The sequence below is a fragment of the Homo sapiens genome, chromosome 6 (genome assembly GCF_000001405.40).
Source record: "Homo sapiens chromosome 6, GRCh38.p14 Primary Assembly".
In the NCBI taxonomy this organism is placed as follows: domain Eukaryota; kingdom Metazoa; phylum Chordata; class Mammalia; order Primates; family Hominidae; genus Homo; species Homo sapiens.
In genome coordinates, this window is record NC_000006.12 from 34,537,136 (window position 1) to 34,563,312 (window position 26,177).

Below are 26,177 nucleotides of genomic sequence, written 5' to 3' on the forward strand. Positions count from 1 at the left end.
GGGAGTAGCCCCTACTTCATAGTTTTGTTGGGAAGATAAATGACAAAGCACCTAGCCCATAGTAGACCATAAGGACACTGAGCCGGGTGATAAATGTGAGGGAAGTGGGAGGAAGCTGGATGAGTTGCTTTGCCCAGGAGAGTGGGTGGTGGGTCCTGGTCACCCCCAGCATGCCCACAGACACCAATGCACACCCTCTTCCCATCACACACGGGGGTCTCACACCCACTCACAGGAGCTCACATCTTCACAGACAGCACTGCTGAGGCCTTCAGGAAACATAAACAGGAGCCAACCAACCTCTCTTCCACCCTGTTAGCTGCAAAGCCCTGCTCTGCAACAGAGCAAAAGGATGCGAAAGATGCCTTCCCCACTCCGGTCCTGCATGTAGCACCTCTTTAGCACCGGCCTTGCCGCCTGCCTCTCAGCCCGAACAGCGACAGGGAAGATGAGGTGGCTGTTCTAGCCCCTCCTTGATTTTGAAGCCTCACTATCTCTCTCCCAGAAGCATCTACCAATCAATTATCCCTTGCCCTTTAGGCTCAGCCCAAAGCCACCTCCTCCAGAAAACCTCCCTTGACTACTCCAGGCCCTGTGACCACAGCCGCATTTGACCATTGATGACCTCGGGGCTGTGCCATTCACTGCGCAGACACTGGGGACATGTCAGTTCTCTAGTATCTTTATTATCCATTCCCGGGGGCACTCCTGGCTGCCCAACTCAGGGGTGCAGATGTCTCCCTGCACCATGCCAGGTGTGGTGCAGAATGGGAGGCAGGGGGATGGAGCAGAGAGAGGCCTGGACTGCCTGTGGCCTTTGTCGAGTCACTGCCCTTCTGTAGGCTCTGCTCTGGAAATGCTGGGGTCAGAGGCAGGTGTTGGGGAGCAGCCCTGTCTCCCTCTGTCCTCCAGGGGAGCAGCTGGGCCTGAGGAGGAAGCACCCCTGCCCCAGGGTCCCGAAGGCCCCAGAGGACCCATATCCCCCTGGGGCAGTTGGTTGCCCCTCCCTGACCTTGGGCTCTGGAAGGTCAGAGCAGCAGAGCAGACTGCCCGTTTTCCCCCATCTCAGGGCCTGGCTGAGGCAGGGCAGGCAGGAGAGAGGCCCCTGAGGGCGGGTTTCAGGCCCTGGGCCAGGCACTCAGATGGGGTGCACGAACTGGTAGACGAGGCGCTGGGAGATGTCTGGCTTCCGGATGATGCCCTTCTTGTAATACTGGCGGATGGAGCGGCTCAGCTTGTCGTAGTTCATGGCGGGACGGTTCTTGCGGATGCCCCACAGCCGGGCCACCTGGGCTGAGTCCTCAATTTTGAAGATGCCTAGAGCAGGAGGGCCCCGAGAGAGCCAGTGGTATGAGTGAGGTGGCAAGAAGGAGAAAGACGCAGACCACCAGGTCAGCCTCGTGGCGAACCAAGGGACCCCGTGCAGAGGCCTCCCCCTGCTCGGGTGGGGCGGGGTGTGGGGGCCCAAATGCCTACTCCCAAGGTGTAGTTGCGGTGAGGTTAAAGAGACGTGTGCAAAGCAGGTGCCACAGGCCCCAGTGAATGGCAGAGAATACTCTGGAGTCACAAACCTCCCGGTACAGGTGAGCCTGTGTACCTTAGTGGGTTCCCTGGGGCCCTGCAGGCCTGGCCCTTGCCAACTCCTGCTTCTGTGTGGGGTTTGCATGACCTAATGCAAAGTCCTGTGTGGCTCCCAGCAGTGCCCACGGCTCACTTGGCAAGAGCATCCCTTCCCCATTACAGGTGTCTCTGTAGTTCCCAAGCCTGAAACAACCTCTTTGCTATTCTCAGGCAGTTCGGCCTGTGCAGCCCTCTCTGGCAGGATTAATTAATATGAGATGGTGGAGGGAGAGTGGATTTGGAGCTCGTTCCAGGTGCTGTGCAGTACTAAAACTCCTAAGTGAGACAGAGTCTAGCAGGAGACAGATGTGGACACAGATTGCACACAGACCCCAGGGCTGTCCCATGAGAGCTGCATATTTGGCATCTAGGACAAAGGTGGGGATCAGCTTCACCCCTCTGCCCGCCCCTGCCCCCATGCACCGTGCCTGGCAGAAGCCCCCACAACCTCCATGCTCACTGGCCCTGCAGCGCCCCTTGGGCACCCTGCTCACCCTTCTCCTTGTTGAGCCACCTAATGAAGCGGCCATAGCTGTGGGGCTTGAGTAGCAACTCCTTGAGGAACTGCCACAGGTGGATGGGCTGCCCGGAGCATGATGAGTCCACCTCGCTGTCGGTCCAGCTCTCCTCACTGGTCGAGGCTGGGTGGCCAGGGAGGGTGGCGGTGAGTGGGAATGGGAGGCCAGTCCCGGCTTCATTGGCAGCCACCCCTCCACCCCACCCGAGCCCCCGCCTCCACCCTGCCGCTGCCTGGCTCACCACAGTAGTGAATCGCCCCAGGTGAAGTCCGCTCTTTCATCCAGGCCGCTGCAGGGCAAGGAGAGGGGGTTGGGGACCCAGGAGAGGCCCCGAGGGTGGAGGAGGGGAGGCGTTTGGGTGGGACTGTGGGGCCACAGGAGCCCCTCTGTGGCTGGGGGTTGCCCCTGTGGCTCCCTGCCTCCTGCCAACCTGGGGAGGCAAGCTGGTTACAAGAAGCTGCTTCCTGGAAGAAAATTCAGGATTTCAGAGCTGGGAGGGGCCGTAAAGGGCTTGCATGCAACCCCTTGTTCAGATGAGGACATCTGACATGGGGGCTTGCCTGGGCTGGGGCGGGGCACTGGTCTCTGACAGGGTCCTATGAGTTGGTCCTGTTTCTTACTCCTTGACTCAGGCACCACCTCCTCCAAAGCACCTGGCCCTGTGCAGGCAGCAGTGGGTGCCCACTGAGATCAAGACAATTTAGACACTCAGGGGCTGACACGCAGCCATTAGAAATTTAGGGCAGGCCGGGCGTGGAGGCTCATGCCTGTAGTCCCAGCACTTCAGGAGGCCGAGGTGGGTGGATTGCTCAAGCCCAGGAGTTTGAGACCAGCCTGGCCAACATGGTGAAAACCCGTCTCTACCAAAAAATACAAAAATTAGCAGGGTGTGGTGGTGCACCTGTAGACTCAGCTACTCAGGAGATTGGGGTGGGAGGATCCAATGAAACAGGGAAGTCGAGGCTATAGTGAGCTGTGACTGTGCCACTGTACTCCAGCCTGGGCAATAGAGTGAGACCCTGTCTCAAAAAACAAAAACTAAAATTAAAACAGGGCCACTGTGGACACGGACAGGGGCAATACCCAAGACATACTGTGGTGTGCAGAGCAGTGTAATACTCTGCTACTACTTATGTCAAAAAAAAAAAAAAGAATAAGAACTGCATATATGTAAATGTGCTCGAGTATTCATAGACTTTCCCTGGAAAGATACTCAAGAAACTTGTAACAGTGGTTCCCTCTAGGGAGGGGATTGGAAGCTGGGGGTCGGGAGCGGGAGGGGGAAACTGTTCATGGTACACTACTTTTCACTGTGGTCTATTTTATAACATGCACATTTATTACTTCTTTAATAAAAAAAAACAAAGAAAACAAAGAAAAACAAACAAAATTTTAAAAGGAAAAAGGACTTCCTAGTATCCACGGTTGTCCCCAGCTCTGACATCCTGCATCCTCACAGTCTGACTTCTACCTTTTAACCTCCCAGGTGCTCTGTCCCAAAGCTCTGGGGCCTTGACCAGGGCTGGGAGTGGGTTGGGGTGAAGAGTGCACCAGGATCCAGGAGGCAGCTGAAACTGGGGCTGAGATTCAGAGTGGAGTCCAGTTGGGGGCCAAGGGGCTGCTGCCCTAGCAGAGGGCAACCTCCTAGCCAGCATCCTGTCCCTGGCTTGGAGCCTGGGAGGGGCTGCTCCCAGCCATGCCACATCCTACCTGACTTCCAGATGTCCAGGTGGGCGTGCAGCACATCCCCACCCAGGGGCGAGCGCTGGCGGAACTGCTCCTCCGACATGGCGCACAGCTCCTTGCCCGCCAGCTCCTGGAAGGCCTTGCCCATGGGGGGCAGCCGGTATTGGTGCTCTGTCCACAGGAGCCACTTCTGCACATTGCTGGGGCTCCAGTCCATGGGATCTGGGCAAGAGGCATCCCCTCAGCTCAGGGGTGGCCTGAGAGCACCACCCTGCTGTGATGGGGCACCCATGGGAACCTGTGGCCTGAGACCATGTGCTCTTGGGGATGGGGATAGGTCAGCCCCAGACAGGCCCCTGAGGGCCCCTGTGGAAGTGGGTACCCAAGAAGAGAGTGGGGCGAGAGGAAGGAACCAGGGCCCTAAAAAATGAACTTGGTTCAGGGCAGGGTAACCTGGTGCATCTGTACTGCCCGCCTCACCCAGGCCTTGGGTCCTCCCAGATCCCTCCAGCCTCTCCAAAGGACCTTTCGAGGGAGCCTCAGCCCTAGAGGGACAGTGACACTCTACCAGAAACACCTGGGCTTCTCCATCAGGTACTTCTTGCCTTTCCCAAACCCCTCAAGGAACCAGAGAAACACCTACCTGGGAATTAGTCTTAGAACCCCACCATTCTCTCCAGCCCCTGTATCTTACAGATGAGGAAACTGAGGCACAGGGCACTCCATCCCCTTGTCCTCCACGGAATAAAGGGCTAGACGCACAGGAGCTGCTCCAGGCACATGTGTTGAATAAGTAAATGGCAGGGCACAGGGTGGCCATGGGGCAGCCACAGGCCCCAGAGGCCAGGAGGGGAGCCCTTGGCTAGGTCCTAGATGTCCCCCTGGGGTGCTGCTCTGGGGTGAGCCTCATAGGCCTATAGGTGGGGGATAGGCTGGTGGGCATGGTCACAATGGGGCCTCCAAGTGAACACCATGGTCCAGCCAGTGTCCCAGCTGGGTGACCTGCAGGCTGGGCTGCCCCCACTTAATAAGCCCATTTTCCTCCCTGAGGTCAAAGCCATTTGTTTCTGTTCCCATTGTTGAGGGAGCAGGGCCCTCCCCTCCCTAGCCCTGTGGGTGGGGAGGAGGTCTGTGGGAGAACTCCTGGAGTCGGCCTGGCATGGGCATTGGGAAACTTGGGGCATCGGCAGGAGCAGCTTCAAATGAGGACGTCAACGGGGCAGCTTTGGGGGCAGGGGCCGGGCCTGAGGGATGCATGAAGACCCCTGCTTCCCAGGGAAAGCTGCACAGAGTTCAGTGCTGCAATGCCAGGGCCTGAAGATGAGGGACATGGGTCAGGACTGCCTGAAGCTGGAGAGGCGACAGCAGGACAGAGGACTAGAGACTCAGCAGCCCCGCCACCCACAGCATCAGCTCCATAATCACGCCTTCCAGGTCTGGCTGACAGACACATGTATGCCAGGCCCTAGGAGGTCCCCTCCTCATCGGGGCCTTCCGTCCCACAAGAACAGTGACACATTTCTCTATTTATTTGTGATCTGTGTCACTCACTATCATGTCAGCCCTACGAACACAGGGGCTGTGTTGTGTTCACCACTCAATTCCCCCGTCCTAGAATAAGGCTTGGCATATTAGGAACTGCTTTTCGGCCCAGAGAGGTAGCTCATGCCTGTAATCCCAGCACTTTGGGAGGCCAAGGCAGACGGATGACCTGAGGTCAGAAGTTCGAGACCAGCCTGGCCAACATGGTGAAAACTCCGTCTCTACTAAAAATATAAAAATTAGCAGGGTGTGGTGGCAGACACCTGTAATCCCAGCTTCTCAGGAGGCTGAGGCAGGAGAATCGCTTGAACCCAGAGGCAGAGGTTGCAGTGAGCTGAAATCACACCACTGCACTCCAGCCTCAGTGATAGAGCGAGACCCTGTCAAAAAAAAAAAAAAAAAAAAGAAGAGGCTGGGCGCGGTGGCTCACGCTAGTAATCCCAGCACTTTGGGAGGCCGAGGCAGGCAGATCACGAGGTCAGGAGATCGAGACCATCCTGGCTAACACGGTGAAACCCTGTCTCTACTAAAAATACAAAAATTAGCCGGGTGTGGTGGCGGGCGCCTGTAGTCCCAGCTACTCGGGAGGCTGAGGCAGGAGAATGGCTTGAACCCGGGAGGCAGAGCTTGCAGTGAGTGAGCCGAGATTGCACCACTGCACTGCAGCCTGGGCAACAGAGCAAGACTCCATCTCAAAAAAAAAAAAAAAAAAAAAAAAAGAAGAAAAAGAAAAAAAAAAGAAATGCTTATTATTGAACAACTGTCTATTGAGCATCAGTTATATTCAAGGTGCTATCCTAGCATCTGGGGATGGATTGATGAGCAAAACAAATGAAAATCCCTGCCTTTGTGGAGTGTACATTCTAGTGGAGGACACAGAGAGTGAGCGAGATCAACAGATATGGTGCGGCACGTCCGAGGAGTGTAAGTGCTATGAGAGGAAGCAGGTGAGAACAGCAGGTAGGGATGTGAGCAGAAATTTTTCTTCTTTCTTTTATTTTTCATTTTTTTGTTTGTTTTCTTTACCATGTCCTGTGCTCATGGGCAGCAATTTTAATGGAGGGGTCAGGGAAGGCCTCATGCGGATGGTGCCATCTGAGCCAAGACCTGAAGGAAGTGAGTCACACAGATATTTGGGGGAAGAGCGCTCTAGGCTGAAGAAGCAGCAGCGTAGCAAATGTTGTGGGAACAGCAAACAGGCCAGTGTGGCGGGAGCAGAGTGAATGAGGGGAGAGCGAAGTCCAAGAGGAGGTGGGGGACACAGAGCTTGAATTCATATCATCCAGCACCTACCAGTGGGGACCCTAGGCTGGCATGGTTGGGACACTAGAGGTGGACAGAAACCTTCCTGGCCCAGGCTCACAGCTGACTGTGTGTAGAAGTGCCAGCATCCCCAAAGCTGCCCGAGGCTGGGCCAGAGGTGGCCAGAGTCCATCCAGCAGTGCCCCGACCCACCCCAGCGACCTCAGCCTTGCCTGTGACCCATCTTACGGAAGCAGGCACATGGAGAGGGCTCACCTGCGGTGATGTTGAGCAGCTTGCAGGCCGTCTCGATGTCCTTGAGCACTTCGCCCACCACCATGGACTGCACCTGCTCCAGCGAGTGCTCCTCCAAGGTCAGCCCGCCGGGCACCAAGTCCAGGCTGCCCGCTGGGGCTTGGCTGTCAATGACCGGGCACTGCTCAGGCTCCTCAGGTGGCTCCTCCCGACTGCTGGCCCCAGGGGCCTTGGCTGCCCAGCTGCTGTCCTCAGGGTACAGCATGTCAAAGTAGGAGAGGTAGAAGGCGGACAGGCCCTGCTCGGGCGTGGCGGGTGGACTGGGACTCCAGTCCCGTCTCTCGAGACCCACTGCCCCCGCTGCCGCCTTCTCCAAGCCTGTCCGCGACACCGTGTCGGGGGGCAGCAGGAGGTGGCTGGGGGATACGCTGCTCAGACCCGGGCTGGCGCTGCCCATGCCGCTGCTGTTTGGGCTGGCGGCTGTGTCTACGGAAATGAAAGAGGACTCAGGTTTGACTGCTTCTCCATCCCTGTGGGGGCCGCTAAGCTGGTTATGGGGATGAGGGGCCCTGTGGACAGTGGGCTGGGCCTGGGACAGAGTTGGGGGCTTCCGGGTCATTGGGCAGCCACGACATGGTTGGGCAGACAGGCCTTCTGGCTGGGAAAGACAGCGAGGTGGGAGTGGGTGCAGGACTAGAAATAGATCGCTCCCTCAATCCCCAAGGAAGCCAGGCTGGCTGGGAGCAGCAAAGCTCCACACATGTACTGTGCTTAAAACAGCCTTCTGAGGTTCCTGACCTCATTCAGCCCTCACAATGGAAGGCATGATTGCGCCATTTGGCGGATGAGCAAACTGAGGTGGGAACAAGGGGCCCTCAGTGTCCAAATCTTTCCTGATATAGCAAAGCTTGTTTTTCTTCTGCCTTTGACAAGGATAGGAGTGGAAGTGGCAGGCAGAGGCCACCATCCTAAAGGTGGCTATCATCTTCACCAGCAGGGGAAAGACGAGAGGAACAAGGCGGGGTAGAAACCCTCCCACACGCCGGGGAGTAGGCCAGCCCTTGCCCTCCCACAGGGCTATCTGGGGGATCTAAGTAAACTCAACACTCTCAAGGTGGCCACTGAGCAAGAGCTCACAGGTGTGTGTCTCCCAATACCCCAGGCTGGGTGCATGGTACCCACCTCCCCTTACCCTCCCTCAGAAGGTGCTGCCCCCAGGGCCCCTTCCAGCTCCCAGTGCTCTCTACTTTCCCCGATGCCTGGAGGAGCATGCGGCCACCCGGAGGCAGTGCCACATGCCAGGCTTTCCAGGAGGAGCCAGGGTGGTTGTGAGATGGGGCAGGGCTCCAGGGAACACCTAAAACCCTTAGCAACTCAGCCACCTGCTCCTCACTGCTGCCCCAAGGCCCTCCGGGGGAACCATCTGGCCTCAACACAAGCAGTCAGAGGCCTTGCTCCCCACGGGCCGCCCCGGCTTGGTTTTGCCCAGGCCCTTTTCCCTGAAACCAATAGCAGAGTGCACAGTTTGGGTGAGAAGGGGGACTGGAGAGGTGCGCAAGCACTGAAACCCCAGGACATTCTGGGATGGCAGTGATGTGGGGGCCTGAGACTTAAGAATACATCAAGACAGGCTCAGTGCAGTAGCTCGTGACTGTAATCCTAGCTCTTTGGGAGGCCGAGGCGGGCAGATCACCTGAGGCCAGGAGTTCGAGACCAGCCTGGCCAACATGGTGAAACCCTGTCCCTACTAAAAATACAAAAATTAGCTGGGCAAGGTGGTGGGTGCCTGATTCTCCTGTCTCAGCTACTCGGGAGGCTGAGGGAGGAGAATCACTTGAACCCAGGAGGCGGCTGCAGTGAGCCGAGATCGTGCCACTGCACTCCAGCCTGGGTGAAAGAGCAAAACTCCGTCTCGAAAAAAAAAACAAAACACACGCACACACACACAAAGAATACGTCAAGCCAGAGGCAGAAGATTACCAACAGATATACGCTCCTAATAATACAGAGAACCAGTTAGGGAGGAGGAAAGGAACAGATAAACCTGTTAAGGGCAAGTTAATTTGTGTCCTTTCTCGAGGGTTATTTATAGTTTCAAGCAGTGGTTCTCCAAATGTGCCGTCTGGGCCAGCAGAACCAGCGCCACCTCGGAGCTTGCTAGAAACTTGAATTCTCAGGCAGTTCACAGCCACTGAATCAGCAGCTCTGGGGGAGACTCCGCAGTCTGGTTTAACTGGCCTCTGGGTGATTCTCGTGCATGTTCAAATTTGAGGATCTTTGCTTTAAAGGTAACTGGCCAGTTGGGGGGAAGGCTTTAATCAAAGCACTGAAATCCTCTCTAACAGTGACATTTATGGTGCCCTACTGGGACAGCAGGAGGGGAAGGGGGCTCCCTGATCCATCTCCAGTTACCCTGTGAGACTGACCCGCGCAGCCTCCGTATGCAGCTGGCATTTGCTTCTGCAGGTGGGACAAGGGAAAGAACCCAGTCTGGAAGACACCTCCACTTCGGTAGGGCCACAGCTAGCCCATTCAATTTCACACAACTCAGAAAATGACATCCCTTCCCCCTGGATAGCATAGCTTGACGAATGGAGCCTAGGTAGAATTTCAGCTTCCTCTGCCCACCCTCCTTGTGCAGTGCCCAACCTTCCCAGTGTTACATGGCAGCCCTGCAGCTTCCTGTGGTGGAGAAAATGCCAGCAGGAGGGAAGGGTGTTCCCTTTGATTTCAACTCTCCCATTCAAGGGCTCCTTTAAGTGACAAGGAAGGAAAGGTCAGGGTGGGGTGGGGTGGGCAGAGACCAAGGCGGGGCTGGGGATGTGGGGGACAGAGGGCAGACCTGGAATCATTTCAAGTCCTTCTGTGCAAACACTCGTGTGTGCTGTGGGCCCACATTATTTACTCAGGCAGTGCCAACAGCTCGCTCTGCCCCTGGGCCCCACCCTGCCTGGTGCCCATGCCCTACCCGCTAGGTGGCTCCACCCCTGGGGACCCCCCCCCGCAGCCCCCCACCCCTCCTTCATCACCCCCTGCCTGCCTCCTGCCCCGTCCACATCCCCAGAGCCCCCATGCCTGCCACGTTAGGACAGTCTCTGCCAACACCCTGGGCGCCATGCCAGGGAGACAGAAGCTTTTCCAAGAAGCAGAACTCGCTTCCCTTGTGGCCCTCCTGTTTGCTTGGCCTCAGCCACAGGTAGGACAGGAGGCAGCTGCTGTGTTTCAGGCATGGTTGTGTGGGGTCGGTGGGGATGAATGGGCAGGGCAGGTGGCAGCTTTTGCCAGGAAGGCATATAATGACACATCCTTGACACATTTGCTGAGTGCATGTGAAGCCCTCACATCCATCCCCTTGCCAGGAGAAAGGCAGCACAGGCCTTACTCTCTCTTTTTTTGAGATAAGGTCTCGCTCTGTCGAGTGCAGGGGCATGATCATGGCTCACTGCAGCCTCGACCTCCTGGGCTCAAGTGATCCTCCTGTTTCAACCTCCCAAGTAGCTGGGACTACAGGTGTGTGCCATCATGCCTGGCTAATTTTTAAAATCTGTTGTAGAGACATGGTCTCACTATGTTGCCCAGGCTGGTCTCGAACTCCTGGGCTCAAGTGATCCCCCTGCTTCAGCCTCCCAAACTGCTGGGATTATAGGCACAAGCTACCTCATCTGGCCCAGGTCTTATTCTCATCCCTACTTTGCTAATGGGGAAGTCAAGGTGCAGAGAGGTAAATCCCCAAATCCAGGTCTTTTGACTCCTGGCTCGGGCTCCTTCACCCTCTATACCCCACATTCCAGCTTGACCTTGCCCTATACCTAAATGCCAAGGAATCTACTCCCCACCAAGCCTCGGTCCTAGCTCCAACACTTCCCTGATGAAAAATAAGTTAATGGTTAACTGTGTGGTTGGAGGAAAGGTTCGACTCTCTGCAGATCAGGGGTGGTGGGGAATGCTCCGTCCCCAAGGCAGCCCAGGCCTAGAGTAGGGGGGCTTGGCTTACTGGTCAGGCAGCCAGGGCTGGTGTGCCCAACCTGCAACTAGGCGTCTCAAGGTTCTGGGCTGGCCTCAGGAGGGAAGAAGAGAGAACGGCACTGTGAGCCCCTGGCAGTGAGCACCAGTGCCACGCCCAGGCTTTCACCCACATCACCCGCTTTCCTACCCACAGCCAGGGTGACGTGGACTCCAGAGCCCTGCTTTATAGATGCGGACAGTGAGGCTCAGGGAGGCTGTGCAGCTTGTCCAGGGTTCTTCCTGGCCAGGTGTGGGTTCTGCTCACTGGACCACATTCTCTCTGAGGTGCATGCTCTGGCCAGTCCCATCTTCCTAGGGGATCTGCCCACCTCCTGACTGGGCTCCTTGATGCTCTAAAGTCTGTCCCCACCTCTTGGCTCTTCATTCCACCCCACTGTTCATATCCCTGCAGCACCCTTTCATCAGACACCCCTGTGCTCAAGAATCTCCCATGGCTCCCCATTGCCCCATCCCAGTGGCTGGTGCCTACCTCTGAGTCTACCTCCTACCTGGCCCAGATAATCAGAGCTGGAAGGGGCCATATATTATGTGATTGTTTCATAGAATGGGAACAATGAAGCCCAGAGTGGGGAAGGGATTCATGTGCTTATTAGCAGCAGGGTCCGGACCAGAACCAGGGATTGACATAGTGACCACAAATCCAAGCTCTAATGAGAATGGCATTTCATACCTGCCCCTGTGCTGTGGGCACAACATGGCTATTTTCTAAGATGCCCTTTCCTTCTCATCACAATTCATCCCAAAGCCCTCCTGCCCCAGCGAGCCCTCCCTAATAGCTCCCTCCTGCGACTTCCTAGGCTCGCCTCATCTGTGCCATGCAATTCAGCCCAGGATTAAATCCATCAGTGATGGTCCACCCATGGGGACACATGTGCACTGGAAAAGCTCAGGCTCAAAGAGTGGCAGGGAGGTGCCCACAGTCACACAGCACAGCCAGGGCCAGACCAGAGGCCTCCTGACACTCAGGCCACTGCTCCGTAGGCCAAGGGTCCTGGGACGTGCCAGGTGTCTGCCATGTCCAGGGTCCTCAGATGGCAGGACCCAGCGTTCCTGCAGCCTTGGCCTGCCAGTCCCACGGGCTGCCGTCTCCTGAGCGATGCCTCCAGCTCCCAAACCTCGAGTTGATCTCTTCTGGATTAAGCCACATGTCTGGATTAAGGCTCAGCGTGTCCTGGCTCCCTCCTGCTCCAGAGGCCCCAGATCCCACTCCAGACAAAGAAAGTTTGGTAACAGCTGGTGGAGGCCAAGGCCCAGAGACAGGAGCAGAATGGTGGGGTGGCGGCCAGGGGGATTAGCCACCTTGGGCCCCTTCTCTCAGCGCCTTCCATTCCCCCAGGAAGGAAGATTAAGGAAAGTGAGCAGAGGGACCCAAAAGGAGAGATTTAGTGCAGCTTTTCCTGCCACTACCCTGCCTACTCTCACCCCTCGGGGCTAGAAATGTGCCCCTTGAACCCTTTGCCTCCCAGGTTTTCACTCCCACACCCCAACTGGCATCAGCAAAAGATGCCCTCCCTGACAGCTCCCGAACCACAGTTTCCGGGAATGGAGTCACCTGGGAGGCGTTTGCTAAGGACCCAGGTCGCTGTGCGGGTTGGAGCCTGTCTTCCATATCCTGCTTGGTCCCGGCTCTCAGGCCCTACCTCCTGGGGAGATGGTGGTGTGGGGTAAATGTATCCTCACCCCTACCTCAATCCTGAGACCCAATGCCAGCCCGCCCAGAGCCCAAGACCCCAGCTTTAGTCCCCATTGAGAAGAGCACTGAGGGAGTGACAGAGATGGCCACTCTGGCCCTGCTGCTCAGCCCCCAGCCGGCCTCACTGCAGGAGGAAGAGGTCTGATGGGGAACAGACCTCCTCTGGCTTTCCCATGTGGCCTACTGAGCTGTCTGTCAGCCCCTCCCTCCATCCATCCAAGTCCCTGGGTCCCCTTAAATGGGCTGGAGTCAGGGGCTGTGGAGGTGAGGCCAGGTCTTGGCCAGGAGCCATGCAGAGTGGGCAGGGGCCACATGGGCCTGCCCTGGTCAGCACCTTGGAGAAAAGCTGGGCTACCCAGGCCTCAGGAAGTCCCAGCCAAAGCCATGACCAGGCCCAGCCGCAGTAGCATGTCTGGCTTCTCCAAACACCCTGACCCCTGCCCTGCCCCATCCCCTTGGGGCCCCAGCCTCTCTCTTGCCCTGCTGTTCCTCCCACCCCTTCTCTGCTCCTCCAACCCTTCCACAGGGAGGACCTTGCTGCAACCTCACCCTTCAAACTGCTCTTCAAACTAGCTGGACCCAAGAGAAGTGCCAGACCCCTTCCTTACGGCCCTCCATTCACTGCCCAGAGCACCACTTCTGCCCGCTGGACAGACCACCCCGCTGCCCAGGAAGGGGGCCCAGGCTGCCACCTCGGGCCAGCAGCTCCTGCCCTCTCTCAAGCACCCCATTGTGGCCATCTCCAAGCACCTGCTTCCCCAGGGTCTCCAAGGGCAGAAGAAGAGAGCAGGGAGGTGACTGAGTGAGAGAGATCTTGCTGTCTTGGACTCAGCATGAGTAGACGAGGTGGGTTTCTTCTAGATCTCCGGGCTTTCCCCACCTCCTCTGGGCACAAAACTGTCCAGGCCAACTGTCCCCCTAACAACTTCTTCAGGAGCCCTGATCTGTGTGAGTTTCACCTTGGGGAGCCAGCTAGTGGGCCCAGGAGCTGGGGTCTGTTGGGGGAAGTACAGGGGAGTGGGTGAGGCTTTGTGGGGCGGGAGGCAGGTGGAAGCTGGGGGCGGGGCCACGTAGCAGGAAGACGGGGCACTGGAAGCCAAAGTGGAGCGCCAGGGGAACCCAGTGGTTTTTCTCTTCCCACAGTTCCCACGGGCAGCAGGAACACATTGCATCAGTGAAGCCTCCTCTGTGCCCTGCTGCATGGGCAGCCTGGGTGTCCACACACACCCTCACTGGCACTACTTCCAGCGCTTTCTGGGACAGGAGGAAGGTCAAACTGAATAAACTGCTTTGCCGGGCCCTCCCAGCTGGGGCAGCCAGCATTATTCCCACTTGACGGACAAGGGCGCTGTGACCTGCTACGGGGCACCTGTCCATGCGTGAGTGAGCAGGGACTCGAACTCAAGACTCGGCTCCACCCTCCTTTCTGCTGGTGCTGGCAGACCCGGCATCTTCTAGCTCCTAAGGTTGCCCCTGTTGACCATCCCCTTTGCCTCTGCTCAGGCCACCTGCCAACCCAGCCCCACAGCAGTTGCCTTAGTGGGGTGTGGGTAGCACAGGTGCCCGCAGCCTGGAGGTACAGAGGCCCACCGCAGCCCCAAGTGGACCATCGTGGCTGAGTTTACTCCAAAAGGGGATGTGGACTGGAAAGAACGAAGACCTCCACTTCAGGAGGTGCAGGTGACACCCTGCCCTGTTCCCTCCATAGGAGAGACCCTGGGTGAGTCCCTGGTCCCTCCAGCCCTCAGTCTCCTGCTCTGTAGGCCAGGTCATCTCTGAGGACTTTGTTAGCCCTGGCACTGCCTGGATTTTACGATCCATGACCCTCATCTTGCCATCAGCCTGGCTTTGGGGACTTAAAGAAGGATGGTGGGGACGCAGAGGTGGACACCTGGGGCTCCCTTGTAAGCAAAGGCATACTCCATTTACAGCTGACACTTTTGGCAGGATGAGGGGTGTGGCTGTCCCTGGAGTTGATGTCTGGAGGCTCTGAAAGACTCAGCCCACCCTTCTGAAGAAGCAGAGCCAGCTTCAGGCTGTCCTGCACCTCACCAGCTGCCCATCAGGCCTGGCTCCCACCCCAGCAGCAGTGCCTCCCCGCCTCCTCCAGCCAGCAGGGACCCCAGCCCAGACAAACCTGGGGCTTGCAGTGAGTCATGCTGACGGGGCGGGGACAGAACCCAGTTTCCCACCATAGCAACTACAATTCCGCTCAACCTTCAGGGCTTTCCAGAAATTGCCATTCACGTCTTCCTTCAGCCCTGGTTGAGCCCATGTGTATATAAATACATTTCACTTCTCAGTGCCCCCGTCAGGCCTCTTAGCCACACCAAGGCTGCCATACCCCCACCACCTGCACATCCCCGCTTTGCCATGATGCAGCCCGGGTCACATGGCTGCCCCTCTCTGGCACAGTCTCGTCCTCACCCCCAAATCGCCGGTACACTCCTTGAAGGGCCGGCCACAGTACCTTCCCTCTTCCCTACCCTCCTCCAGCCCCGCATACGCCGTACCTCCCAGCTTGCCACAGGACAGGGGTCGTGAGGTTTCCTGGGTCTCTTGCTCCCCACAGCCCTGCCCAGCAGGGTCGTTGAGGGCATGAGAACACACGGATGTCACCGGAGCTCTGCTGCTCCTGCCTGAGGCCCCTTGGCCGATCCTCTTGGCCTCAGCCTCTTCAGCAGTGAAACAGGGACTCATAAAGACAGCTGTGTGTCTGGATTTTGAAGTCACCAGGCAGGACAGCGATGTGAGAAGGCTTCACTGTCTCCCGAGAGGTGTGTGTCCACAGTGGTGACTGCTGTCTCCATCTGCCGTGTTTCTGCGGCCCCTCCAGACCCAGCACAGGCCAGGGAAGGCAGAGGCCCTCCACACACCTGGTTGTTGGTCTGTAAAATCTTGATGGGCTGAAGGGAAAAAACATTCCTGCGCCCTGATCCTCAGGCCCTGGAGCACACCTCCAGGCTTGGAGAGGGGTGTTAGGACAAAGTGAAGGACTCCAACATCACAGATGAGAAAAGTCCAGAAAGAACTGTCCTGACAGGCTAAGAACAGAAATTGCTTCAAACAAGGTTGAGATGGGTGGGAGTGGGTTATTAAGGGGTTATCAGGACCGGTTCCCACCTGTGAAGTGTCAGCAGAGACACATCCCCCTTTTGTCCTGGCACAGAGGGTAGGGTGGGGCAGGAGGAGCTAGGTCCCAGCAGCCCTCAAAGCAACTTGCTACCCCAGGAGCAGAGAGGCCTGGGCCTTGCCCCGCAACCAGTCTCAGGCGCTGGAGCCCCGGGCTGGGCAGTCCCTCCAGCCACGTCTCCCCTGTGCCAGAGCTAGAGGGAGAAGGAGGGGGGTCTTTATCCTGGTGGTGCGCCGTCATAATCCTGGGGAGGTCCCGGTCCCATCCGACCCCCAGCAGAGTCACACTAAGGTCCCTGGCTGGGGAGGAAGGATGAGCCTCTCCCTCCCCAAGTCTGGAGGCCCCTTTCTACCCACCCCCAACCCCGGCTGCTGAGAGGTGGGAGAGCAGAATCTGGCAGGGGGCACCTCCCAGGCTGAAAACATGCAAACTAGCCAGGAGAAGGAGCTTGGCATTAAATGTCAGGAAGAGCCCAGGGCAACTCGGCTTGTGCAAAGTTTGCTTTGGGAAGAGTTGTTCCACCTGACAGGCCACTCGCTTGGCTGGGGGCACAGGGTGGGGCATGAACGGGGTGGGGGTGGGGACCAGGGGAGGGTCCCAGAAAAGGTTTGATCCCTGACTCTCTGCTCTCTAGCTCTGGGGCTGGGGCCAGTGACTCAGCCCCCTCTGAGGCTCATTTTTCTTGTCTGTTAAATGGGCTGTCAAGAGTATGTCTTAAAGGGGTTGTGGAGATTGAGATGGAGGGTGAATGGAAATCATTTATGATGGGTTGAGTGTACATGAGGGGGGCCCTGGGCACAGGTGAGGGGATCAGCTGGAGAAGAGGAAAGAGAGAGGGAATGGGGTGAGGAAGCCGGGGAGCAAAGGAAGAAGCGGAAGGTGATGGGGAGTAGAGGGAGTGGGCGAGAGAGTGGAGTCTGGGGGGAGCTGAGGATGGTGGTGAGGGAGGCTGGGGCCCTGTCCTGTTCTCTAGCCCAGTCCAGGCAGCTGCAGGCTTCACCCACCCTCCCTGCCCTCTAGGAGGAACCAGAACCAAGAATTCCTGCCCCACCCACTTCCCCCCGGCCCCCGCACCCGCCACCACCCCCCAACGCCCAGGAGACCGGCTGGCAAATCCAACTCCTACACAGCCTTCAAGGTCCTGCTCCAGGCTGTCTCCTCCGTGAAGCCTGCTTTAACAGGCAATAGCCTTGTCTAACCTTGTTTCACAGACAAGGTGTTGCAAGTACAGTGAGGAAAAGTGACCCGCCCACGGTCCCACATGGCGGGACCTCACCTGTTCCTTCTTGCCCTCCACCTTGAGGGTCTGTGTCCCCCTGTCAGACTAAATTAACTTCCCCGGGTTATACTCAGGCTGCAACAAGTCATTTAGCACAAAACTGCTCTAACGGTTTCAGGGCTATTCACTTTATACTCACAACGACCTCAGTGGTAAAAAGTGGGTTCTCCCGGTTTTTGCACTTCCTGCCAGCATCACACTTTCTGAGCATCGACTGAGCACCTACTGAGTGCAGCCCTATTCCCTCAGACTTGGTTGACAGAGAAGCCCTATCGAATTCAGAGGGTCCTTGTGAAAACCAAAGTGTTTTACAACTGACAGTGTGCAATAAGCAAGTCTGGTAGTTTTCAGCTCTGGATACCCCCACGGGGCCTCACTCAGAGGAAATGCTTGTACATGCACTGTCAGCCTCTCAAAGGCGAGGGTGGGTCCCCTACGCAGTGAGACCACCTCCTCCACACAGCCCCACCTGCCTGGGAGCTCCGAGAATGCCCCCCACCATTTGTCTGTGAGTTTGGGGTGGTGGGACTCCAAGCTGGGGGTCCTTGGCTCTGGCCCCTCTTGCAGGTGGGTGGAGGGAAGCTCAGCCCAACTGGCCTGGCTGAACCATGGCCTGGGCCTGCCCGTCTGGTGGGGCGTCTCCTCCCCATCCCTGCCCACCAGCTTGGGCCTGGGGCAGCCTGGACGCCTGTTTGCTTTGTTACTCAGCTGAGCAGCTGGTGATGGGGAGATGCAGCTTTATTGGGGAGGTTGCGGCAGGAAATGAGGCAAGTCCCAGCCCTGGCCGAGGAGGAGGAGAAAGCCCATGGCCATCATAAAGGACACAGGCTACGCGGGGCTCATGGCCTGGGTGTGGGCTGCTGGGCGGCCCCAGCTGATAGGTGAGGTGAGGGATCTTGGCCTGCCCCTCCCCAACATGCACACACACGCACACACACATGCACATGCAACACGCACGCGCACATGCACACACCACACACACACATACTTCCGCGCACACACACGCACGCACACACCTCCACCAGCCTCAGGGGCACCCAGTCGCCCAGGCCCTTCAGCTTCCCACCCTGTCATCCCACCACCCACTTCCTCTCTCCACCGCAGAAATCTGGCAAATCTTAGAAATGAGCACCTTCGAGGTACTGCTACTGTTGCTTTCCTTGTGTGCCAAGACCAGGACCCAAGGCTCTCAGCTTCCCCCAGTGTCCAAGGGCTCAGAGTGTGTGCTCAGCGGTGACCCCAGCCCCCTGGTTCCTGTGCCCATCCCTGCCCAGCCCAGCTACTGGGCTCTGGACCTGTCTCCCCTGTCCCGAACTGGACCCGGCCTTAGACTTAGCCCTGACCCATCAAGCTCCAGCAAGCCCCTGCCCACTGGTGGCCTGGCACCAGGGAGACCCTTTCCTCAGCAGAGCAGCTGGGTTGGCAGCAGCAGCAAGCCGCTTGTGTTTCTCCAGCCAAGCAGAACTGGCTGGGTCTCAGGGGCCGGGGCTCTGCATCTGCACGGCGGCCTCCCCTCAGGCTGGGCAGACTGGGCTCAGTGTGGGGGACCCCAGGCCTTGCCGGGCAAGGGGGCTCACCCAGCATGTAGAGTTGGCCCAGAGAGGCAGTCTGGGGAGCATGAGGAGGGGGCAAGGAATTCTGAGGGTAAAGGGATCCAGGTCACAGGGTCACTGATGACTGGGAGATGAGCTCTGAGCTGGCAAAGTGCGCCCCCTCCAAGTCCTGCCTGCAGTCGCCCACCCCCCAGCTGGCAGGGAAAGACCCCATGCCAGGGTACCCCCACCTCCTGTTGGACTCACCTGTTAGCTGCCTGGTGCCCAGGGAGCTGTCTGCTGCAGTGCCAACTTCAGGGGCCGGGAAGAGGTGTGGGCAGCTGAGGCCACTGGCGTGTCTCAGCCAGGCATCTGGGGGGCCAGCGGAACCAGGGGCCAGCAGGGCTGGTGGCAGAGGCAGCACTCAGGTTGGCCACTGGGGGCCTGGCCACCCTCAAGGGGTGGCCCTCTGAGGTCTCAGGGCTGCGTGCCTGTAGGGAGTCCCCTACCCCCAGCCCAGGGCTGCCTGCTGGCACCGTGGCAAGGCCCAACCTGAGGGGCTTGCAGGGAGCTGGCAGCAGGCTTGGAGGACTGGGTCTGTGGGGCAGTGTGGACACGGCAGAGTGCAGGAATGTGCTGGGAGGAAGTCAGACAGCCGCGAGATGAAGAGTTGGCCAGGGCCTGATTTCCCATTATAAGTAATCCTTCCTTATTTACCTGAACAAATACACTCCTTGCTTACCTCAGACCACAGGCAGGCTCCTGATTAACCCTTGCAGGTCTCCCCCTCCTTGCTGGGGGATCCATGCCCTGACAGCTAGGGGACTCATTCATTCACTCGCTCATTCACTCGTTCATTGGTTGCTGCATAGCCACTCAGCTCATATTACGTGCAAGGCGCCAGAGATACGTCGAGTGGGTCCAGGGCTGGGGTTCTAAGATGGATCAGCTGAGGGCCAGAGACAGACAAGTGAGCAGCAGTGGAGATCCAGAACCACCCATGCCCAGATGGAGGACTGAGGGGGCACTGAGGGTGGGCACCAACTAGGGAAATCAGTGAGGGCTTCCTGGAGGAGGTGCTGTCTGGCTACTCAGGCCAGGGATGGAGAGAGCTTCAGAGAACCCTGGGGAGGGATCCCGAGGCTTGTGGGCCAACCACGACCTGGTGGGAACTGTGTTCTCTGTGCCCCACAGGGTCCTCATGCAGACCTGTCACACAGTGGCGGTGAGGAAGGACTCCTAGCTCGCTTTCCCAGGCCCGTAATCGGGGGCCAGCCAGCAGCAACTTGCTCTCCCATAGCCCCAAAGGGTGATGGCAGGGATGCCACGCAGGACAGAGGTACCCACCACCAAGCACTTGCTGCCCCAGACCCTCCACCTCCTTGAGCCCTGCGGGGGCCACACAGTCCAGCTTTTGGCTTCCTCCATGTCCTGCCAGGTGGGCTGAGAGTTGTCCCTGGAGGCTGGGCCTTCCTTTCTCCAAATCATCTCAGAAGGGCTCCACGTACCTGCTACCTCCATTCTGACGGGAGAAAGTTCTAGATAATGCTGATTTTTCTCTTGTTTCAGGAGTAACTGTGTAACTGCCGAGAGCATGAGGATTCTGGGGCTGCAGGGGATCCCAAGGCCTTTAGAACTAGCCCCTCACCTTCACCAATACCCACATTCTCCAACGTAAGGTTGCACTTTGCACCCCCAGGGAGCCCTGTACTTGGCTGTTATCGTCACTGGCACCTTGGTTGAGGATCAGTTATCAGTCATTCCCCAGAGAAGGTTGAGGGAGGATGGAGCGGAGGAAGGGGAGGTAACACAAGGTCCTGAAATGGTACACTCGACCACTCCTAATCCCCAATGGTCCAGCCCTCCAGGGTCAATAAAGAAAGACACGCTGCGTTTCCAGGTGGATCTCCTTCCCCTAGAGTGCGTTTTTGTGCCTGCTTCTCTGGTGGCCACGCCTCCCTCCTCCCCACTCTCACAGAAGCCTGGCTTATATCACAGCATTCTGATGCATTAATACTAATGACCACTGCTTAACAGGCACCTACTGTATGCCTGTATGTTCGATGCTCATGAGATGCTAAGCTATTAATCATACTGTAAGTACTATAATGTGGGTAAGTACAAGGAATATCTAATAAATGTTTATTGAGGCTGGGTGCGGTGGCTCACGCCTGTAATCCTAACACTTTAGGAGGCCAAGGTGGGCAGATCACTTGAGATCAGGAGTTCAAAACCAGCCTGGGCAACGTGGTGAAACCCCGTCTCTACTAAACATACAAAAAATTAGCTGGGCGTGGTGGCAGGCACCTGTAATCCCAGCTACTTGGGAGGCTGAAGCAGGAGAATCGCTTGAACCCAGGAGGCAGAGGTTGCAGTGAGCCAAGATCGTGCCACTGTACTCTAGCCTGGGCAATAGAGCGAAGCTCAAAAAAAAAATGTTTATTGAGTGGATAAGGTGTCAAAGATAGCTGTCCATTCTCCCCTTTTCCTCAGTAAACAAGGCTTGATTTTTATTTTTTATTTTATTTATTTTTGTAGAGACAGGGTCTCTCTATGTTGCCCAGGGTGGTCTCGAACTCCTGGCCTCAAGCAATCCTTGTACCTCGGCCTCCTAAAGTGCTGGAATTACAAGCATGAGCCACTGTACCTGGCCAAGGCCTGGTTTTTAGCTGCGCACGTGGCTACCTAGAATTAAGACTATCCCAGCCTCCCTTGCAGCTAGATGTGACTATATGACAAAGCAGAAGTGTCATGTGCCAAGATTTCTAGGAATCTTTCTTAAAAGTAAGCTGGCATGTACCATTAACTCCATTCTTATTTATCCTTCCTCCATCTTGCTGGGTGGAATGCAGCTGTGATAGCTGGCATTCTGGCTGCCATCTTAGACCATGAGGACAAGATAGTAGAGTAGGCAGCAAGCTAGAAGGAGCCTGGGTCTCTCAGGATTATGTAAAACCTCCATACCAGCTGCAGACTGCCTGCCTTAGGACTTTTATGAGAGAAATGGACTTTTCACTTTTGTTAAGTGGGAATTCTTACTGGTGTGGCCTCACTCAAGGCCCAAGGGAGCATTTCACAGGGGTCTCCTGAATGGATGGGCCCAGCTAAACTGTACTGGCTGTGGACAGGGTCTCTACCCATTTAAGCCTGGAGTAGGGAAACAAATGTTGCCTCTGGAAGCTGGAAAAGGTCCACCAAGAGGGAGCAAGGGAGGGCTCCCCCATCTGCTCAGCTGGGCTCACACAGGCCCAGCCTCCAAGAGGCTGCTTGGGGTGGACATCAGTGGTGTGCCCAAGGTGGGTTGGATGCCCATCTAAGGCAATGCTGGTGGGCTTCAGGGGAGGAAAGGCCAACTTTCCCAATAAGGGAACTCTGGGTGACACACATCCTCTTGACCCCCTGATCCACCGGGCATGGTGTCTTGGCACCAGCTTGGGATTTGATCAAGTACATGTCCTGATTCTGTAATTTTCCAGCTTTGTGACTTTAGGCAAGTGTCTGAAATCTGCTGAACAGTCACCTCCCAAATCCAGAGAACCCTGAGAGTTACTGTGAGGAGGGAGAAAATGCTGGTCAAAGTGTTCCATGAACCTGGTTGCCCTATTCCAGGGCCTTGCTGACCACCAACCTGGCCACGTGTTTGACAAATGCCATCTTACTCCTCACAGCAACACTCACAGGTAGATGTTGCTATGCCCATTTCTCTTTTCTTTTCTTTTCTTTTTTTTTAAGACAGAGTCTTGCTCTGTCACCCAGGCTGGAGTGCAGTGGCGCAGTCTCAGCTCACTGCCACCTCTGCCTCCCGGGTTCAAGTGATTCTCTTACCTCAGCCTCTCGAGTAGCTGGGATTACAGGCACGCACCACCACGCCCGGCTAATTTTTGTATTTTTAGTAGAGACGGGGTTTCGCCATGTTGACCAGGCTGGTCTTGAGCTCATGACCTCAAGCTATCCACCTGCCTCGGCCTCCAAAAACGTGAGCCACTGGGCCAGGTATATGCCCATTTTTCAAGTGAAGAAATTCAGGCTTGTACATTTAAAATGTCATGCCCAAGGTCACAGCTGGGAAGCAGATTCAAACTCAAATCCCTAATTTCCATGACTGCCCCATGCCCAGTAAAACCCTATTGCTACTCTCACGTCCTCTCAGGGCCAAGTCCCGGGTCCCTGGAACAGGTCACTGGGTCCACTAGACTTCCTGCCTCCAGCTCCCTGGGCTGGACTCCTCTCTAATCCTCCTCTGGCCAGCTCTCATCAGGTTAAATGTGCCCCCTCCTGTTTGCCCTCCATCCAGACCCCACCCATCTGTTGTGGGCGATGCCTGCTCCATGTCCACCCCTTCCAGATCTGGGGTCTAGTACACAACCCCAGTTGGCTCAGTGTGACTCTGTCCTGGAACTTTTCTCCAGCCTACTGAGATAACAAATTATCTCTTGCCACTAGAGTTTCCAAGCCTTGACGTGTTAAGTCAGGAGCTGCTACCCCCAGGGAGAATAGGGACAGCCCAGAAGAGGAGGAGCCAGACGCCCTCCTGACATCGCCGTGGGAACACCTGGATGAAGCTGCCATTCCCTTTTTCTGTCGTTCAAATGGACTTGAGTCCCTCCTATTTTGGTGGAGAGAACCCCCATCCTTCGGAGGCCCATTTCAAGAGCCCTCTCCTCCAGAAAGCCTTTCCCTGTCCCCTCCAGTCCTTGCGGACCTCACATGTCCCAAGTCTTTGTTCTCTAATTCTTTCCCCACTATTTCTTATTTCTTTCTTCCCAAGATTTTAACTCCTTGAAGGCAGGGATTCTAGAGCAGCTGGCAGCATCAGACCCAACACACCAATTTCTGGAGCAGTTGGCCTGAGCTTCCTCCCCACATTGGTCCTCTCTGGCCACTGGCCCACCAGAGGCAAGCGTGGAGAGCACCGGGTGGAACTCAGGGCCCACATCTCGGTTTCTGTGCAGCACTGCCACTGACGAGCGGCGGGATCACGAGCGAGTCTCAAGCACTCTGGGCCTCCCTCGCCTCCTCTGTGAATGGCGATAACAACGCTTGCCCTGCTGACCTTGTGGGTGGAGCACTGTGATGAGCGAATGTCAAGTGGCAGCGGAAGTGGACACGCTTTGGAAAGGGCAGTCTGTCTGAGTCAGTCTGTTGGTCAGATTCCTGCCTTCCTAGCTTTCTTTCTGACTCCATCTGCCTGCGCTCCCATCCTCACTGCGTCCTGCTCTCTGATGAGCTAGACTGGGGATGGTGGCAGAGGCAAGGCTGGGATGTATGCCAGCCACAGGGACATGCAGCTGCCAGTTAGTTCCCGACTGACACAAGGCCCCACCCCCAGACCCAGGCTCCAGCTGCGAAAAGGCTGGACAGCTTGGGGGAGGGTGCCCCCTGCTGAGGCGTGAAGAGCCTGAGGCTGGTCACCTGGACAGGGCCAGAGGGGACAGGAAGGGCAGGACACTTGGTTGGTGGGATCCCAGAAACCACCCAGCCATCTCGTGGTACAAAGACCTTGGGACCAGAGAGGCTAGGGACCAGGCCCAAGGACACACAGCAGGGCTGGGATCTGAATCCAGACCCCGATCTGTGCTCCCACATGGCATGTGTTATCTCATTCAATCCTAGCAAGTCCACAGGGGGTCATTGCCTGTCTCACTCACAGATAGGGAAAAGAGGCTCACTGACATTCCCAGTCAAGCCTGGATAATGGCAGAGGAAGGATTCAGGCTGGATCTGTTGGAATCCTCTCTCCAGGACACCATGTTGCAGCTGGATGGTGAACAAGGGGCTGGGAAATAGCCCAGGGGGTGGTGGCTGTGTTCTCAGGGCCATACTACGAGGCACTTCCAGCAACTGCAGCATGCCAGGGCCCCTCTTGGGCACACTTGGGCCACAACACGTTGCTCTGCCCAGACCAGCATCTTACTCTGTGCTGCCAGGCCCTAAACGGGCACTGAGGCCAGGGTGGCCGGGCACAGGGGCTGGGCACAGCCTGCTCTTGAGGATAGTTCAAGGCCTGGTGGCCACAATTGCTCAGGGTCTTCTTGCCTCAGAGGGCAGTGATGACTCCCAAGGGTAGCCATCTGTGGGCTTACTAGTTTCATGAACACCTATTAGATGCTGTCACAGTGAGTGACCCTCTCCATTCTAGGGAAAAACAAAAGGTGGAAGAGCTTCAGGCCTCGTTCCATCAGTGCCATCTCCTACCCCTCTACAAACTGACTCCTCAGAGAATGACCCCAAGCTCCTGATGGGGGCCGAGCAAATGGACCCCAAGCTCGTGATGGGGGCTGAGCAAATGGACCGTTTCTTCCTGTAGCCAAGGGCTAGCTGTACCCACCCCCATTGCTGATTCATAACTGGGAGGCCATCTGAAGAGGCCTCATCCTATCCCAGGGCCCCAGCCCTTGGGGTCCTCAGAGTTCCCATGTGGACCCAGCCAGGCAGGGCTCGTGCCAGAGTTAGGCAACAAGCCTGAGAACCCTGCAGCCCTAGCTTGGGGGACAGACAGGACACACAGATGGCATCCTCTTTACCACCTCCACCCCGTGATGGGGAGCAGGGTGGCCTGCGCCTGCCCGCATGAATCCATTCCCTCCACAGGAATGTGCTGGAGGGCTACTGCGGGTCAGGCACGGGTCATTGCATACAGCAGAGCCTCATTGGGCTTACATTCTAAAGGACCAGCAACAGCAAAGGTGCAAATGAGTAAATTGCATAGTACACTGGTGGGTGATGCATGCATGACAGGAAGGGCCTAGGAAGCCTGGAGCGGTGGGTGGGGTGTGGGAGCAGCACTGAATACGGTGGTCAGGGCAGATCCCTTTGGGGAGGTGGGATTTGAGCAAGGCACGAAGGAGGCGAGGGTGTGAGCTCTGCAGGTCTCTGTGTGCATTCCGGGTGGCGGGAGGTGACATGAGGAGGCACTGTGGAGTTAGATTGTGGGGGCCTTGAAGCCCTGGCCGCTCATTTCCCGGGTCCCCTGGCCAAGCATCTCACCTCTCCCATGCTCACTGGGAGCCAAGTGCCATGCTGGTTGCTTCAGAACAGTTAGCTCATTTAATTATCTTAACGGCCCTTTGAGGTAGCACCCCTATCGTTAGCATCCCTATTTTAACCTCAGGGAGGAAACTGAGGCACGGGGCGGGAGAGGAGCTTAGTACTTTGCACAATGAGGGGAGGAGCCAGGATCTGGTGCAAAGCCCCACTCTTAGCCACCACTGCTTATGGTCTGGTGTGTCTGCTGCCCCTCCCTGACCCGCCCCCCCACAGAGCACCAGGTGCACCCCCAGCCCGGCAGGCCCGTCGTGGGGGGTGGAGGGGCCCCACATCACTGCTCACACCCTAGAGCTGACCGCTGCCTTTCCCCGATTAATGCAGAGCCAGCCGGGCCTTACAAAACCGCAGGCCCAGATAAGAGCACAATCGGAACCTGTTTTGCTCACAGGCCAGCTCAGGAGCTGGGCCCTCCGGTTGGTGGGAAGTTCGGGGGGAGGCTGCTGGCAGCACTCTGGCCCTGTTATCAGTAGCCTTCTCCCCCCACCCATTAGCCCCTTTGAAATTTACCCATCTTATCAGAGGTTCGAGCTTTCCAGCTTTTGGAGGGAGAGCTGTTATGCCTTTGTGTCCAGCCGCTGCCTTCTGCCTCTGCCCAGAGAAGACT

At 56.9% G+C, this 26,177-nt stretch overlaps 1 protein-coding gene across 4 annotated transcripts, besides 6 other annotated features; it reads right to left on the reverse strand.

Moving 5' to 3' along the window:
• Nucleotides 464–670: a silencer, noted in NCBI's record as "fragment chr6:34505376-34505582 (GRCh37/hg19 assembly coordinates)". NCBI's record gives its function as "represses an EF-1alpha promoter that drives an FKBP-Casp9 reporter gene in an ReSE screen in K562 erythroleukemia cells {active_cell/tissue: K562}" and the evidence as "EXISTENCE:reporter gene assay evidence [ECO:0000049][PMID:32094911]".
• Nucleotides 667–19,194, reverse strand: SPDEF (SAM pointed domain containing ETS transcription factor). 4 transcript variants are annotated; one of them, NM_012391.3, is made up of 6 exons: nucleotides 18,794–19,194; nucleotides 6,885–7,349; nucleotides 3,849–4,046; nucleotides 2,380–2,427; nucleotides 2,115–2,261; nucleotides 667–1,317 (listed from the first exon to the last, which is right to left on the reverse strand). In NM_012391.3, exons 2-6 carry the CDS (start codon nucleotides 7,318–7,320, stop codon nucleotides 1,139–1,141), a joined length of 1,008 nt encoding a protein of 335 aa, NP_036523.1. In that variant the 5' UTR covers nucleotides 7,321–7,349; nucleotides 18,794–19,194; the 3' UTR covers nucleotides 667–1,138. The 4 variants fall into 4 exon arrangements, with proteins under 4 accessions (NP_036523.1, XP_005249045.2, NP_001239223.1 ...); XM_005248988.6 differs by lacking the exon at nucleotides 18,794–19,194 and adding an exon at nucleotides 15,096–16,195; NM_001252294.2 differs by lacking the exon at nucleotides 2,380–2,427.
• Nucleotides 13,440–14,434: an enhancer, noted in NCBI's record as "H3K4me1 hESC enhancer chr6:34518352-34519346 (GRCh37/hg19 assembly coordinates)". NCBI's record gives its function as "activates a minimal SCP1, AML or CMV promoter by ChIP-STARR-seq in naive H9 embryonic stem cells {active_cell/tissue: H9 hESC(naive)}" and the evidence as "EXISTENCE:reporter gene assay evidence [ECO:0000049][PMID:30033119]".
• Nucleotides 17,782–18,298: an enhancer, noted in NCBI's record as "H3K27ac-H3K4me1 hESC enhancer chr6:34522694-34523210 (GRCh37/hg19 assembly coordinates)". NCBI's record gives its function as "activates a minimal SCP1, AML or CMV promoter by ChIP-STARR-seq in naive H9 embryonic stem cells {active_cell/tissue: H9 hESC(naive)}" and the evidence as "EXISTENCE:reporter gene assay evidence [ECO:0000049][PMID:30033119]".
• Nucleotides 23,198–23,929: an enhancer, noted in NCBI's record as "H3K4me1 hESC enhancer chr6:34528110-34528841 (GRCh37/hg19 assembly coordinates)". NCBI's record gives its function as "activates a minimal SCP1, AML or CMV promoter by ChIP-STARR-seq in primed H9 embryonic stem cells {active_cell/tissue: H9 hESC(primed)}" and the evidence as "EXISTENCE:reporter gene assay evidence [ECO:0000049][PMID:30033119]".
• Nucleotides 23,930–24,660: an enhancer, noted in NCBI's record as "H3K4me1 hESC enhancer chr6:34528842-34529572 (GRCh37/hg19 assembly coordinates)". NCBI's record gives its function as "activates a minimal SCP1, AML or CMV promoter by ChIP-STARR-seq in primed H9 embryonic stem cells {active_cell/tissue: H9 hESC(primed)}" and the evidence as "EXISTENCE:reporter gene assay evidence [ECO:0000049][PMID:30033119]".
• Nucleotides 24,661–25,391: an enhancer, noted in NCBI's record as "H3K4me1 hESC enhancer chr6:34529573-34530303 (GRCh37/hg19 assembly coordinates)". NCBI's record gives its function as "activates a minimal SCP1, AML or CMV promoter by ChIP-STARR-seq in primed H9 embryonic stem cells {active_cell/tissue: H9 hESC(primed)}" and the evidence as "EXISTENCE:reporter gene assay evidence [ECO:0000049][PMID:30033119]".